This window comes from Homo sapiens, chromosome 18 (genome assembly GCF_000001405.40).
Source record: "Homo sapiens chromosome 18, GRCh38.p14 Primary Assembly".
Taxonomy (NCBI): domain Eukaryota; kingdom Metazoa; phylum Chordata; class Mammalia; order Primates; family Hominidae; genus Homo; species Homo sapiens.
Window position 1 is genome coordinate 12,972,278 of NC_000018.10, and position 17,170 is coordinate 12,989,447.

A 17,170-nucleotide genomic window follows, 5' to 3' on the forward strand; every position below is an offset into this window, starting at 1 on the left:
TTAAGATGATTTCCAAGGTTCTGGCTTAAGAGTTCAGTGTGTAATTTCAATGTGTGTAATTTCTTGAGATAAGGAACTCTGGGAACAAGGCAGATTTGGGTAGAGTGTGGCAGCATGTGAAGGTAAGTTAATTTTGGTCATGCCGAGATACAAGTGTCTGCAAAGCTTCTGAGAGCCAAAAGCAGTGTCTCAGAGGCACACTACTCAGTCTTACAGGAGAAGAGAGCACTTGTCAGGTGATCAGATGGGCTTCGCAGGTACTAGACAAAATTCTTGAGTCTAATAGTCAGATCTTAGGCAGGGCCAGCAGTAGAGAAGGAACTAGTGTTACTCCCGTGGGCTCTGCAATTCCAAATGTTACCATCTGGGTTACCAAGGGGATCTTACACCTTCTACCTTCCTAGATTGTTGGTGTCTGCAGAGAGGCTCAGTCTTCAACAGTGCTGTCCAGTAGAATGTGCTGCAGTGATGGGAAATGGTCTTAGAGATTTTCATGGAGTTTTAAGCTGTAAAAACTATGAGCCCTATTAATAGCACATTTTATAGAGGCTTCATGAAGTGTTGGGCTTGTTAAAGTAAATTTCAACCTGAGCTGAGCAGAATGAATATGTAGACATAAGCCCAAAAACGTAAAAGGTGTATCATTGGCCACGCGAGGTGACTTATGCCTGCCATCTCAGCACTTTGGGAGGCTGAGGTGGGTGGATCACTTGAGTCTAGGAATTCAAGACCAGCCTGGACAACATGGTGAAACCCTTTCGCTACAAAAAGTACAAAAATTAGCTGTGGGGATGATGGCGCATGCCTGTAGTTCCAGCTACTTGGGAGACTGAGGTGGGATGATCACCTGAGCCTGGGAGGTCGAGGCTGCGGTAAATCAAAATTGCACCACTTCACTCCAGCAGTGTCAAAAAAAGATTTTTTTCTAAAACATAGGAAAAGAAAATATTTCATAAGTAAGATTTGAGTAAAAAGATAAATAACTTGCAGTTAGTTCTGAAAGAAAATACAGGCAAATAGAAATTACCTATTTTTTTTTTTTTTGAGAGTCTCACTCTGTCACCCAAGCTGGAGTGCAGTGATGCAATCTCAGCTCACTGCAACCTCTACCTCCCGAGTTCAAGTGATTCTCCTGCCTTAGCCTCCTGAATAGCTGGGATTACAAGTGCGTGCCACCACGCCTGGCTAATTTTTGTATTTTTAGTAGAGACGGGGTTTCACCATGTTGGCCAGGCTTGTCTTGAACTCCTGACCTCAGGTGATCCACCCACCTCGGCCTCCCAAAGTGCTGGGATTACAGGTGTGAGCCACCACGGCCGGCCTAGAAATTACCTAAGTATTTCTAAATTACCTAAATAATCCAATGTTAAAAATAATCTGAGATTGCATTTGAGTCTAGTCTCTTAGCTAACAGAATAAATCTAGACTGGGGGATTCCCTGTATTATGTCATGTGACAAGGAGCCTGAGGGTGGAGCAGTTCTGGGGTTAGGTAGTGACTCAGTTGCTCAATGATGACATCAAGGACCTACCTAAATATTTTCCACTTTTTTCTTGCTGTCATGCTTAGTACACTGGTGATAGCTCCCTCTTATGATCACAAAAGAGCTGCACAATGTCAGGTTTTACATGCTAATACAAAGAAGGGTATTCTAGAAAAAAACACCTTTCCTAGAAGTATCTTAGCAGGCTTCTTATCAGGTGCTGGCGGCTGGAGTTTGGTCATCCAGCCATGCCTTAGCTGCAAGAGAGTGAGACAGCAAGTGTCTGGCATTTTCAGCATCAAAAACGAGGGGAAGTGGTGTTGGGGAAAGAGTGTCTGCAGGTGGGGGTGTGTGCTATTGACTTGGGAAGTAATCAAACCTATTAAGTTCAGCACTTTTTGGAGTTCTGTTGCTGGTTCTTTGAGGTAAGCATTGTTTGAAGGTTCTTATTTAGATTGAACGTGGAGGAGATGTGATAGTGGACTATGTAGTATCGTTATTAATACCTGTTTATCTTTTTCTCTCTTTTTTTTTCTTTGAGATGGAGTCTCACTCTGTTTCCAGGCTAGAGTGCAGTGGCGCAACCTTGGCTCGCTTCAACCTTTGCCTCCCGGGTTCAAGCGATTCTCCTGCCTCAGCCTCCCCGGTAGCTGGGACTACAGGCACCCGCCACCATGCCCAGCTAACTTTTGTATTTTTAGTAGAGATGGGGTTTCACCATTTTGGCCAGGATGGTCTCCATCTCTTGATCTTGTGATCCGCCCACCTCAGCCTTCCAAAGTGCTGGGATTACAGGTGTGAGCCACCACGCCCGGCCTGTTTATCTTTTTCTAAGTAGTATCACCATTTAGTAGACAGGAGACATTTGCCAAATTAACCAGTGTTGGATATATTTGTTTTTATTTGTGAGTGAAAATACTAAAACAGATCTAGGATTGATAGTGATAATAGAAGTGCCATGTGTTTATATAGGTTACCGGGCATTTTTATGTGTGTTATGAAGTTTGAATCCTACCAACCACCTTGTAAGTAGAGGAGACAGCTTTTATTAACACTGTTTTACAAATGAGAAAACTGAGACCAACAGAGTGAATGACTAGTCTAAGGTCCAGAGTCAGGACCAGAAACAAAGTCTTTTTTGTTCATTCTCTTTATTTACACTCTCATTGAGGATCTTATTTGGCTCCTTCTGATAGGAGAAGCTTTAGATAACCTTAATTATTTTTATTTTTATTTTATTTTTTTTTTTGAGATGAAGTTTCACTCTTGTTGCCCAGGTTGGAGTGCAATGGTGTGATCTCGGCTCACCGTAACCTCCGCCCCCTGGGTTCAAGAAGTTCTCCTGCCTCAGCCTCCCAAGTAGCTGGGATCACAGGCATGTGCCACCACACCCAGCTAATTTTGTAGTTTTAGTAGAGATGGGGTTTCTCCATGTTGGTCAGGCTGGTCTCGAACTGTCGACCTCAGGTGATCTGCCTGCTTCGGCCTCCCAAAGTGTTGGGATTACAGGCGTGAGCCACCGTGCCCAGCCACCTTAATTAATTACAATATATAGCTTGCCTCAGGTAAGAAAAAAAAAATCTCACTTTTTCAACATTTCATAAGCAGCATGGACTGTACTAAGAGCTGAAGGAGCTTACAGCGCCTAGGATATGGATGAGGATGGTCACCTGCTAGAGATGGCAGCACATACCTGCCTGGTAGGGTGAGAAGTTTCAGCTGATGATGTTTGAGCATGAATCTTGAAAGACAGAGGGTGTTCTGCAAGCAGAGAGGAGGCAGGAGCAAAGACAAGGGCGTGGGGTCGAGGCGGTGGGTGGGGAGGCTAATGCAGGAGAGAGACAGGGGAGGGGCAGGCCAACAGGCCAGGCAGATTTTGGAGAGTGGTGCTTGCCAAGTCTGATCTCTATCCTGGCAGCATTTGGACTTTTGCAGGGTCCAGTAGAGTCACAAGGTTGTATTTACCTTTTAGGGAGATGACTTTGGCAGCTGTGTGGACTGGGAGCAGGAACTCAGGGATGAATGCAGTAGCCCACTATGATGTGGAATGAGGACATGCACTGTGGCGTGGGATGAAGAGGGACCGGGGAGACTTGTCTAGGAGGCACCAGCTGTAGGTCACGTGAGTCTTGGTTTCTGACCTAGCTGATGGTAGTGCCACTTGTTGAGATGGGGACTGAGCAAAGAGGAGTGAATGTGGTAAGCACAATTTATTTCAGACATATGTTTGAGGTGCGTTTGGAACATCCAGGTGGGGATGTGTAAAGGCAGATGGATAGAATAGCTGAGATTAGTTGTCTATTGCTGCATGACAGCATTATCACTCAGTGGCTGAAACAGTACAGATTCGGTATTTCAATGTCTGTGGGTCAAGAGTCAGGCCAGACTGGGAAAGACTCCACTTCGGAGCTCACCTGGTTGTTGGCAGCACTCGTGTTCCTGCCACGAGACCCTCCCTTGTGTCCTCACAGCATGGCAGCTGCTTCTGCAAGGCCTGAAAGCAGGAGAGTCTTCTCATGAGGCAGGCGTCACAGGCTTGTGTGTTGTAGTCACACGGGTGTTGTCCCACCACCTTGCCATGTTCCGTCCCCTGGGTAGAAAACAAGCCACGGGCCCCACTCACACTCATGGGGAGGAGCCTCCACAAGGGCGGGACCACCAGGAGGTGCGGGTCATGGGGGCACTTAGAATCTCTCTGCCACAGTACGGGTGTTCCTCCCACTTTACGGAGAACTTGCTGAAGGTCGTTACAGCCTGGATTCAAACACGTTCTGGCTGCAGCATGTGTGCTCTTAGCTCCACCTGTCCTATTTCTGGCCTTTGGTAGAAGGCCAGAATCTATCCCCTGAATTGCAGGGGATAGATTTAGGAATTATTGGTTTATAGGTACTGAAACCATGGGTGTAGAAACCATGCATATTCTGGCCGGGCGCAGTGGCTCACGCCTGAATCCCAGCACTTTGGGAGGCCGAGGTGGGCAGATCACGAGGTCAGAAGATCGAGACCATCCTGGCTAACATGGTGAAACCCTGTCTCTACTAAAAAATACAAAAAAAACAAAAAACATTGGCCGGGCGTGGTGGCAGGCCCCTGTAGTCCCAGCTACTCCGGAGGCTGAGGCAGGAGAATGGCATGAACCTGGGAGGCGGAGCTTGCAGTGAGCCGAGATCACACCACTGCACTCCAGCCTGGGCGACAGAGCCAGACTCTGTCTCAAAAAAAAAAAAAAAGCATATTCTGATTGTGTAGGCCCCAGGAGGGGGCTGAGATTCTGGATTTCCCAGAAGCTCCCAGGCTGCTGCAGACCACACAGTAGAAGCAAGGATGTGGATGAGATTGCTTAGGGTGATTGGATGGGTGAGAAAGATCAAGGAGAGAACCTTGAGGTGTGTACCAGCTTGGTAGAGATTTTAGGAAGAATGTTGGGATGAAAAGAAGGTCAAGTGAAGAATGCTGTAGAAAGGTGGGATGGGGAGATGTCTCCACCCAGTCTCCTACATGCAGGGGGTTAGGTGCTGCCGTTCTGTCCAGGATATTCAATCTTAGAAGAACCTAGTAGAAAACTCTGATCTACCACTGCCTTCATTATCCTCTTATTCTGTATTTATAGATAAAGAAATAGAATTGCAAGGATGAAATAGCCTTTGCATAGTTTCCTTTTATTATCACTTAACTCAATTCCTGCTGGGCGCAGTGGCTCACACCTGTAATCCTAGCACTTTGGGAGGCAGAGGCGGGTGGATCACCTGAGGTCAGGAGTTCAAGACCAGCCTGACCAACATGGTGAAACCCTGTCTCTACTAAAAATACAAAATTAGCCAGGCGTAGTGGTGCACGCTTGTAATCCCAGCTACTCAGGAGGCTGAAGCACGAGAATCACTTGAACTCAGGAGGCGGAGGTTTCAGTGAGCCAAGATTGCGCCATTGCACTCCAGCACAAGAGTGAAACTGTCTCAAAAAAACCTCAATTCCTGTTACCAGCTTTACTTTTTTATTTACATTCAAATACTTAGGCAATGTGTTACTCTTTTCCTAAGAAAGATGTTAGTGGCTAATAAATCAAGCCCTTTTTTATTTTTTATTTTTGCAGTTGAGTCTTACTGTGTTGCCCAGGCTGGAGTGCAGTGGCGTAATCTCAGCTCACTGCAACCTCCGCCTCCTGGGCTCAAGCCATCCTCCCACCTCAGCCTCCTGAGTAGCTGGGACAATGGGTGTGCACCACCATGCCCAGCTATTTCTGTATTTTTTGTAAAGATGGGGTCTTGCTGTGTTGCGCAGGCTGGTCTTGAACTACTGGGTTCAAGCAATTCTCCCACCTCAGCCTCTCAAAATGCTGGGATTACAGGTGTGAGCCACTGTGGCCAGCCAAGACCTTATTGTAATTAAATTTTTATTAAAGCGTTTCGAGCTAAATGTACATTATTAAAGGAGGAAACGTGGGAGGTTGTATTAATTTCCTAGGGCTGCCATAACAAATTACCACAAATCAGGTGGCTTAACACAGAAATGTATTCACTCACAGTTCTGGAGGTCGGAAGTCTGAAATCAAGGTGTTGGGGCTGTGCTTCCTCTAGAATCCTTCCTGGTCTAGTCCAGCTCCTGCTGGCTCCGGGAGTTCTTTGGCTTGTGGCAGCATAACTCCAATCTCTGCCTCTGTGTTCACATGGCTGCCTCCTCTCTGTCTCTGCGTTTCTTCTCTTCTTTTTAAAGAATACTTACTGCACGTTGGATTTAGGACCCACCCTAAATCTCGGATGTCATTCTGAGGTCCTTAATTACATTTTCAAAGACGCTATTTTTGAATAAGGTCACATTCACAGGGTCTGGGGGTCAGGACTTGGACATATTCTTTTGGGGGCTGCTGTTGAGCCCACTACAGAGGTGAGCACTACATGATTGTGAGCAGTGTGAAAAAAAGGTGAGATGCAGTGATGTGTGGATTTTTGCACATTTTATTTCTAAAATGTTAATGTCAATTGTTTTTCCATTAGGAAATATGCAAAAGCTGAAACTCTTATGACAGTCACTGATCCTGTTCATGATATTGCATTCGCTCCAAATTTGGGAAGATCTTTCCATATTCTAGCAATAGCGACCAAAGATGTGAGAATTTTTACATTAAAGCCTGTGAGGTGAGTTTTAGAAGCATTTATGAATTTGAAAATACTCTTGCCTTCTGATTACCTTTGTTTGTGGAGGAGAGAGTAGAGGTAACTATGATTTGGTTTATATTTCTGCTCTGGAAGTTTTACTTAAAAATGTAAACTTTGAAATGTTTTTTAAAAATGGTCTTTTACAGTTACTTTTTTTTCTTTCTTTTTTTTTTTATTGATCATTCTTGGGTGTTTCTCCCAGAGGGGGATTTGGCAGGGTCATAGGACAATAGTGGAGGGAAGGTCAGCAGATAAACAAGTGAACAAAGGTCTCTGGTTTTCCTAGGCAGAGGACCCTGCGGCCTTCTGCAGTGTTTGTGTCCCTGGGTACTTGAGATTAGGGAGTGGCGATGACTCTTAACGAGCATGCTGCCTTCAAGCATCTGTTTAACAAAGCACATCTTGCACCACCCTTAATCCATTCAACCCTGAGTGGACACAGCACATGTTTCAGAGAGCACAGGGTTGGGGGTAAGGTCACAGATCAACAGGATCCCAAGGCAGAAGAATTTTTCTTAGTATAGAACAAAATGAAAAGTCTCCCATGTCTACTTCTTTCTACACAGACACGGCAACCATCCGATTTCTCAATCTTTTCCCCACCTTTCCCCGCTTTCTATTCCACAAAACCACCATTGTCATCATGGCCTGTTCTCAATGAGCTGTTGAGTACACCTCCCAGACGGGGTGGTGGCTGGGCAGAGGGGCTCCTCACTTCCCAGTAGGGGCGGCCGGGCAGAGGCGCCCCTCACCTCCCGGACGGGGTGGCTGGCTGGGCGGGGGGCTGACCCCCCCACCTCCCTCCCGGACGGGGCGGCTGGCCGGGCGGGGGGCTGACCCCCCCACCTCCCTCCCGGACGGGGCGGCTGTCCGGGCAGAGGGGCTCCTCACTTCCCAGTAGGGGCGGCCGGGCAGAGGCACCCCTCACCTCCCGAATGGGGCGGCTGGCCGGGCGGGGGGCTGACCCCCCCACCTCCTTCGCGGACGGGGCGGCTGGCCGGGCAGAGGGGCTCCTCACTTCCCAGTAGGGGCGGCCGGGCAGAGGTGCCCCTCACCTCCCGGACGGGGCGGCTGGCCGGGCGCGGGGCTGACCCCCCCACCTCCCTCCCGGACGGGCGGCTGACCCCCCCACCTCCCTCCTGGACGGGGCGGCTGGCCGGGCGGGGGGCTGACCCCCCCCCACCTCCCTCCCGGACAGGGCGGCTGTCCGGGCAGAGGGGCTCCTCACTTCCCAGTAGGGGCGGCCGGGCAGAGGCACCCCTCACCTCCCGGATGGGGCGGCTGGCCGGGCGGGGGGCTGACCCCCCCACCTCCCTCCCGGACGGGGCGGCTGGCCCCCCCACCTCCCTCCCGGTCGGGGCGGCTGGCCGGGCAGAGGGGCTCCTCACTTCCCAGTAGGGGCGGCCGGGCAGAGGCGCCCCTCACCTCCCGGACAGGGCGGCTGGCAGGGCGGGGGGCTGACCCCCCCACCTCCCTCCCGGACGGGGCGGCTGGCCGGGCGGGGGGCTGACCCCCCAACCTCCCTCCCGGACGGGGCGGCTGGCCGGGCGGGGGGCTGATCCCCCAACCTCCCTCCCGGACGGGGCGGCTGGCCGGGCGGGGGGCTGACCCCCCCACCTCCCTCCCGGACGGGGCGGCTGGCCGGGCGGGGGGCTGACCCCCCCACCTCCCTCCCGGACGGGGCAGCTGGCCGGGCAGAGGGGCTCCTCTCTTCCCAGTAGGGGCGGCCGGGCAGAGGCGCCCCTCACCTCCCAGACAGGGTGGCTGGCAGGGCGGGGGGCTGACACCCCCCACTTCCCTCCCGGACGGGGCGGCTGGCCGGGCAGAGGGGCTCCTCACTTCCCAGTAGGGGCGGCCGGGCAGAGGCGCCCCTCACCTCCCGGACGGGGCGGCTGGCCGGGCGGGGGGCTGACCCCCCCACTTCCCTTCCGGACGGGGCGGCTGGCCGGGCGGGGGGCTGACCCCCCCCACCTCCCTTCCGGACGGGGCGGCTGGCCGGGCGGGGGGCTGACCCCCACCTCCCTCCCGGACGGGGTGGCTGCCGGGCGGAGATGCTCCTCACTTCCCAGACGGGGTGGCTGCCGGGCGGAGGGGCTCCTCACTTCTCAGACGGTGTGGCTGCCGGGCGGAGGGGCTTCTCACTTCTCAGACGGGGCGGTTGCCAGGCAGAGGGTCTCCTCACTTCTCAGACAGGGCGGCCGGGCAGAGATGCTCCCCACATCTCAGATGATGGGCGGCCGGGCAGAGACGCTCCTCACTTCCTAGATGGGATGGCGGCCGGGCAGAGACGCTCCTCACTTTCCAGACTGGGCAGCCAGGCAGAGAGGCTCCTCACATCCCAGACGATGGGTGGCCAGGCAGAGACGCTCCTCACTTCCCAGACGGGGTGGCGGCCGGGCAGAGGCTGCAATCTCGGCACTTTGGGGGGCCAAGGCAGGCAGCTGGGAGGTGGAGGTTGTAGCGAGCCGAGATCACGCCACTGCACTCCAGCCTGGGCACCATTGAGCACTGAGTGAATGCAACTCCGTCTGCCATCCCGGCACCTCGGGAGGCCGAGGCTGGCGGATCACTCGCGGTTAGGAGCTGGAGACCAGCCCGGCCAACACCTACAGTTACTTTTAAATTAATGTCATTTTTGAAGAATGGATTATTTAATGAACATTTTATATATAAATATATGTCTTTTTGGAAAGGGGAATTGAGTCAAGAGCAGATTTATATTCTCTTAACTGTGCTTTATTTAGGCTGAAACTAACAATTCTCCAAATATAACTGATAATCTATAAATATTTAATGACAAGTGGCAGTCTATTTAGGGAAAACTAAATTAGTATTGAGACAGTCTTGTGAATAACATATTTAACTTTAATTTTGAATTGTGAATTTCAGTTCTTTTCTTTCCATTCTTTCATTCTTTCCTACTTGCTGCCCTGCCCATTTTTTTTTTTTTTTTTTTTTTTTTTTGAGGCAAGGTCTCACTCCGTTGCCCAGGCTGGAGGGCAGTGGCTTGATCTTGGCTCACTGCAACCTCCACCTCCCAGGTTCAAGCAATTCTCATGCCTCAGCCTCCTGAGTAGCTGGGACTACAGGCGCCCGCCACCATGCCTGGCTAATTTTTTATTTTGTATTTTTAGTAGGGATGGGGTTTCGCCATGTTGGCCAGGCTGGTCTTGAACTCCTGGCCTCAAGTGATCTGTCCACCTTGGCCTCCCAAAGTGCTGCGATTACAGGTGTGAGCAACTGCACCTGGCCTTGCCCTGCCTTTTTAAATTAATTATTGTCATCTATTTTATTCTTCTGCCTTGTGTGGGAGAATAAAATCATCCTGTTTTGTTGTTTCTTTCTTCCATGAAACAGTCACTGAGTATCATTTATGTGCTGGGATCACTCCAGGTCTTGGCGAGTTAAATGAAAATGACATTGGCCCAGCTCAAGGGCCAAGGTGTGGGGTTTGGGCAGATGTGCACATTATTATAAAGTGATGTGGTGGCGAGACCACTTGTATTAATTTAGAATTTTACGTGTGTATATATATATGTGTGTGTATATATATATGTTTTAAAACTTTGTTTGGAATGCCTCAGAAAATGTTTTTTATTAACAGGAAAGAACTGACTTCCTCTGGTGGGCCAACAAAGTTTGAAATCCATATAGTGGCTCAGTTCGATAATCATAATTCTCAGGTCTGGCGAGTGAGTTGGAATATAACAGGAACGGTGCTAGCATCTTCAGGAGATGATGGGTGTGTAAGATTGTGGAAAGGTAAGAGTTCAGTGAAGGGGTAATTGTTGGTTTATATTTCTGCTCTGCAATTTTTACTTAAAATGTAAACTCTGAAATATTTTTTGAAAATGGTCTTTTACAGTTACTTTTAATGTCATATTAATTTATGTTATTTTGAACATCAGTTTACCTAGTTCATAGAAGTTAATGACTGAATTGTTTTTTAAGTTATGTGGAACAGAGCAGTTTTCAAAACTAAAGTAATTACAACAGAATATGCAATATCTCCAATAAAAAGATACCAGTTGTCATATATGTACCTTACATGACTGCTCTACAAACTCAGGCTAGGACTGTAGTGGCTCCTTTTTTATCAAATAAATTGCTTTAGACAATCCATCCTTAATAGGAGAAAATCCAGTATCTTCCCTGCTTCTTCTCTGCAGCTCCCATAAGTTAAGAGCCTTGGGGGCCCTGATTGTAAGTTTCTTCTAAGTGCCAGGCTGAGTGAGAAGGTCTGGTCAGTTGACACTGACTGTGGTCTCTGTAGCTTGGTTCTGCACTTCTCCTTGGATGATTATCCATTAGGCAGAGATGTCTGTGATTTGTGCACCACCATAGAATGGTGTCCCATACTTAGCATTCAGAATTATAGCTATCTTTGTTTATTTGCCATTTAGCAGTTATTGTTTCCCAAAGTGCAGTTTGGGTAAGCTTGAGGGCCTCCCATGTTCAATTTTGGGCTTTGGTAAAACCAGCCCAGACCTTCCTTTCCTCAGTGTAATTTGATTTTAGGGGCTTTGCTGTCCTTTTCTGCCTTTAGGCTTTATTCAGGACCACCTTGCCATGCTCCCCAGCAGGGTGCCTAACTTGATTTTCTTGGGCTCATTGTCTTCAGAGACCAATTTTTCATTCAAACTAATAAGGCCATTTTGGATAAGCCACTGAAGCTCCAAAGGTTTTGTTACCTACATCCATTTCAGAAGACATGATAGGTACCCTTATAACTTATACTTGCATAATTAAGAAGACAACTTCATTACCTTACATACATATGTAAGTGAAATTCATTATAATGAAGACTTTAATATTATAATGAAGATTTTAATATTAACTTCATAATGTGGTAGCTCAGAGAATTGTCTTTGCTAGTATCTGTAAGATGGGTGGTGAAAGCTTTATATTTTTAAAATTAGTGATACTTTGAAAACTTCTAAAAAGTTGTTAAAACTGAGATAATATGTCTTTCATTTAAAAAGTGTCTTTAATGTTTATCCTGAAAGAAATGTAGCTCATAGCCTCTGTCTCGTTTCTTTAATTGTAGTTTAAGGACATGGGTACAGATTTGTGCCCTTAGGCATTGGTATTAATCATGTTAATGTATTTGATTATTTTCCTTTCAGCTAATTATATGGACAATTGGAAGTGTACTGGTATTTTGAAAGGTAATGGGAGCCCAGTCAATGGGAGTTCTCAGCAGGGAACCTCAAATCCTTCCCTAGGTTCAACTATTCCAAGTCTTCAGAATTCATTAAATGGATCTTCTGCTGGCAGGTAGGCTGCTTCATGGGAAAACTGGAAATCATCTTTGTTTTAAATCATTCTGGTAGCCATACTTAAGGTGGATTATTTCATGGATTATAAGATGGAGTGGAAATGTTCACATGTGCTTGTATTAGCATTTAAGAATTCATTTTGTTAGCTATGTATTTGGCTTACTTGGTCATAATATTTGCAGGTAGGTTATGAAGTCATTACATTATATTCTGAAGCTTTAGTGGTCTATTGGTAGAAATGTTTACAGGTTTAAGATTCAACTTTGCTTCCGCAACAGTGAGAGGAAGGTTATCTGGTTTAATGGTGAGAGTTTTAGTCCAAATGAACATTAGTGTTTTTTAGTGCTTGTAGTGTGGTCTTTGCATTAGGTCAAACTGAAATTTTAAATAAAATACATTTCTTAAGGCTTTCTAGAAGAGGGTACATTAAGTTATTTGGCTTTTGTGTTTAAAACTTTAATAGAAATAAGAGGAAATAATAAAACACGAGATTGATTTTTAGAATATTTAGCATATGTTACATTCTTGTATATCATAATAAGGAATATTTGATGTCATCTAGAGTCTGTTTCCATGTTCAAATTTTAAATATGTGAATTTGTAAGATAAAATTATTTTAATATGCCTTTGTGAATAATTTGGAATAGAATTCAGGAAACGTCAAAACACAGCCTAATGAATTGTCCTGTGGTTATATCCTCTTGTTATCCTATATAAAAGAAGAAAATTGTATTTAAAATTTCAACTATTTTTATATTGTTATGTTTTCATAAAGAAGTTCTGCTTTTGATTTTGAGGTTTTAAGTACATGCATCAAAACAATTTCAGGTTACCGTGGAAGATACCAGATTATAAAGATTATTTCATGAAACAAATAATATTAGAGTTGATTTTTTAAAGTCTGGTTTTTGGTCACTGCCTGTACTGCATATTTTCTTTTGTAAATAGCTTCTATTTTTTGATCTGTATTCTTATTGTGCCAATAACCATCTGTGTTAGATCTGTGATGCATTTTCCCTTTTCCATTTGTATTATGTCCTTTAACAGAAAGCACAGCTGAGTACAAGCTAACTGGAGTAACTTTGCTGTTTTGCTGCTTGTTGCATGCACACAGGAATGGAAAGCGAGCTCCTTTTCCCCTTCCCCAGCGCCGTTTGACCTCTCCCAAGATACACCAGCAGCCTGCTTACTACTAAACGCAATCCAAAAGGCCTTTAAAAATACAGTGTATATTTTTTGTACTAGTCAGTTTATTGACACTATTTGAAACTTTTGAAATATAAACGGAGAGGCTTTCTGTTGAGACATTGTCACCAAAACAATTTTTTGAAATGTTCCTGAAACTAATTTGGGTTTAAAGATTAAAAGGGTTGTTACCATTCTTATCTGAGTAGTTGGGAGGAGGGGAATACCACTTTAGTTCATTTGGAAAATATAGACATATTTCTTTTGCTTTCTTAAAACAGCTTAAAATGATGAACTTTTATAATTTTAATTTGAAGATTGAATAAATATTTTTTATAAAGATTGTTTTGAGTGCTGATTTGTTTACTTTTTGTAGATTTGCTTTATCCATGATATTCAGTACAACTCTGTCATTTCTTTGTAATATTTAAAAAATATTAGTAAAGGAGTGAATTAATAAAGTAGTAATAGTAAAATGAAAGGAACTTGACTGTACAGTTTGTAGCCAGGTTAAGCATTTGGTATTGTTTCATTTACAATTTGGGACTAAGATGGAAACACTTTTTTTATAAGTTTTTAATTCATAGTCACTAAAGAGATAAATGTTTCTTATATACATTTGTGTATTTTTATGGTGTTATTTATTCCATGGCTTAGCTTCCTTCAAATCAAAATTTGGACACACACTATTAAGAGAAGCCATTAAAATTTTACTAAAATTGTGCATGTAAATTAATTGTCAGCATTCCATGTCTCAAGATTTTCTTAATTTAGTTCGCTGTTTAAATTAATTCATGTCCTGTAAAGTTCTGACCTTGATAACAAAGCTATAAATATTTAAGTTTGCTAATATGCGTAAGTATTATCGGTAAGTTACAAGATGGAAGAAGAATAACAGTAGGGCACAGTCATTCTGTGAATCCTTTTACTTATCAAAATTTGGTAGCTATTCTAAGGCTTTTGCAGAAAAATAAGTGTTCAATGTTTGTAGTTCTTCAAAAGCATGTTGCAGTAGCCAGCCATACTATGTGTATTCCCAGTATCATGTACGCACTAAAAAAAATGTGTGCTTGCTGCTGCTGTGAGTGAACCATTGCTTAAGATAAAAAACTTAACTAGATCTGTAAATGTACAGAATAGCATCAGATGTTTCTGAGAGATTAGAAAATGTTTTGAATTTATAAAATTAATGTTTTTCTTTGTAACATTTATATATATTTTTTAACATTTTAAGTTTAACAGATTGTATTCCTTTCAAGTTTCTATACTTGCTTAAGCAATCTTGATTTGAGTAAGGGTCTTGATTTGTGCTATTATGTTCTGTTAGTTTTGGCATGAATATACTAAAGCTTTTTTTTTTTTTTCTAGCATGTGTTTTCTCCTCTTTGGTTCTCTTTGTATTTACTACTTTTCTCTTTTTCTTGTGTTTTTTTTTTCCTGTTTTTGTTTTGTTTGGTGTTTTGTTCCTGTCTTCATTGTTTCAGGTATTTCTTTACCCCTCTGGATTCCCCACGGGCTGGATCGAGATGGTCCAGTTATGCCCAGCTCCTTCCTCCTCCTCCTCCTCCTCTGGTAGAGCACTCTTGCGATGCTGACACTGCCAACCTCCAGTATCCTCACCCTCGCAGACGATATCTCTCTCGGCCTCTTAATCCCTTACCTGAGAATGAAGGGATTTAAAACACTGATTTAACATTGAAAGGCCTTATTCAAGTGCTTGTAAATGCTTTCATTTCTGGCTGCTTTTTGTTTTTCATTTTCTTTCAGAAGATTTTTCTAACTTAGGGTCTGTCTTGCATGTATTACAACCAGAATACAGTGTTTGGAACCTAAATCTGTTTGTGCGTCTGCATCAAAGGAACATTTGCTTCACTGGGTGATAACCTTTGATGAAATGAGATATGTCCAAGTAACGTTAACTGTGAAGTTACACACAGTAGCTGACTTCAAAGTGCCTGTTCTGTAAATTTTATTTTAAACTGTTACCATAGTCTTAAGTTGTTTATGCTTTATCAGACTGGCTAATGTGAAAGCATAATATTATGAAGTTTATTCTGCCTTATGAGACCTTAAAAAATGGATTTCATTTTACAGGCTAATGTTGTAACTGACTAGTATGTAAAATAAATCATTCCTGTGTATAAAGCAGCAAAACCTAATGTGGACTTTTTGGTCTTTTTTTTTTTTTTTTTTTTTTAAAGGAAATTGCCTTTCACTACTTGGAATTACTGTTTAAAGCTTTTGTAATTATTATCCAAGTAGGTTATGTAATAAAATATATTTAAAAATATACGAATCTCTTGCCTTATAAAAACAGAATGTATTTTATTTAAGATAATTGCCAAGGCTTACTCTTCTTTCACTATCTCACAAAAAACCCAAACAAAAATTAGGAGATGTGAGCAAATATTACATTTATTTAAAAGGTAGAAAGTCAGTATGTAGACTACTAACATTTAGAATGGACAGATGTTGACTTTCAGTCTAATTAGTCAACATTAGAATATTTTCTAGAATATTTTAAAATGAGAATGTACTTGATTATAATTGTGGTAAAATGATTAAAACTAGTAATATGCTTGTTGGTTCAGTTTTGTCAGGAATTGTCAAGGGTTTAACCTCTTATCAGGGCTAGAGAGAGAGGTGTTTTGAACAGTATTTCATGTAACAGATTACATGAAATATCAGGTAATCACATAGGTGACATAGTTATTATAACTATTCTAATTTTCAAAGACGCCTTTCCTTGAATAGTGTCATAGCTCTAGTACTTCTTAATATGCAAAGGATTAAGAGCTGATAGAAAGATTCTGTTCATTTTATTTTATTTTTTATTTTTTAAGACAGTGTCTCACCCTGTTGCCCAGGCTAGAGTGTAGTGGCATGATCATGGCTCACTGCAGCCTTGAACTTCCGGGCTCAAGCGATCCCCCCACCTCAGTCTCTTGAGTAGCTGGGACTGCTGGTGCACGCCACCATGCCCTGGCTATTTTTTTAAAATTTTTTTTTAGTGAGGGGTCTCACTTTTTGCCCAGGCTGGTCTCAAACTCCTAGGCTCAATCCATCATCCCACCTTGGCCTCCCAAAGTGCTGGGATTACAGGCATGAGTCACCTCACCTAGCCTATTCATTTTAGTTTAAGGAACATTTGAGTTTTATTGTCTAATAATCAAAGTGTTTTGTCTCTAAAGTTAGCATTTCAATGTAAATATCTTTTTCAAATAATTCTCAAAGGTCTTCCTCTGGTTAAATGACTTGCTAGGCTTGTAGCCTTATGGAGGATCAAACAAGAAGTCTTAATGCTGAATCTAACCCAGAATTAAGAAGCCATGTCTTTGAGCTTTCAGACATAGAGGTACCTTGGGTAAGAATGGAATAATGAAATTGAGACCATTCTCCAGTTTAATTTAGTGAATCCTGAGCATCTACCATGTGCAAGATACTGTGCCAAACACTGGGGTATGTAGAAAAATAGGTAGTCTGCACACAAACTTACACTCGTGGGAGAAGGCATTTTTAGAATTTACAAAAGGTAATGGGTTCAGCTTTGTAATAATGGTAGAAATTGTATAGTAGGCATAAAAGAGACAAGTTATTTGAGCTGGCAGAATTTGGAAGGGATGTCTGATTTCAATAGGTAAAAGAGGGCCGGGGTGTGTTTACGGAATAGGATATAAGTAACAGTCTGATGAAAGAGTAGGGTTCATTTAGGGAACTACTGGGACATTAACCTGAAATCATACCTTGTGGTTACATTGTAGAAGGTTTTGAGTATTGGCTGAGGCATACCACTTTAAGCAGTTGGTAAAAGGGGAGCTGAGAGATGTCTGAACTTAAAACTGGATAGGCCTCACTTCTAATTCCCTGGGAGGCACCCTGGTCATGGGGCCTCTGCAGGCTCTACTCAGTGTCTAAAGAGATTTGGAAATCACAGTGGGAGTTCTGTTCCTCCTTTCCAGTTGGCAAGTGAGGTGAGATACTGAGGTATAAGATAATAGCTAATGTTTGTTGAGTATTTCCATGGGCCATTATTTTTCTAGATACCTTACAGAAGTAGCTTTAAATCCTCA

At 44.0% G+C, this 17,170-nt stretch overlaps 1 protein-coding gene across 9 annotated transcripts in view; it reads left to right on the forward strand.

The window, feature by feature from the left end:
- SEH1L (SEH1 like nucleoporin) overlaps positions 1–15,259 on the forward strand; it is a 39,526-nt gene extending 24,267 nt beyond the window's left edge. For 4 of the 9 annotated variants that reach the window (XM_011525742.4, NM_001013437.2, XM_011525743.3 and 1 more), the window contains 4 exons: positions 6,475–6,615; positions 10,241–10,398; positions 11,763–11,913; positions 14,585–15,254. In XM_011525742.4, the coding sequence (XP_011524044.1) occupies positions 6,475–6,615; positions 10,241–10,398; positions 11,763–11,913; positions 14,585–14,780 (646 nt within the window). In that variant the 3' untranslated portion in view covers positions 14,781–15,254. Of the gene's footprint in view, positions 1–3,455; positions 3,606–6,474; positions 6,617–10,240; positions 10,399–11,762; positions 11,914–12,962 lie in introns of those variants that run through there. The other 5 variants (XM_011525744.2, NM_031216.4, XM_017026025.2 and 2 more) reach the window with 2 other exon arrangements.
- Positions 15,260–17,170: the final 1,911 nt, after the last annotated feature.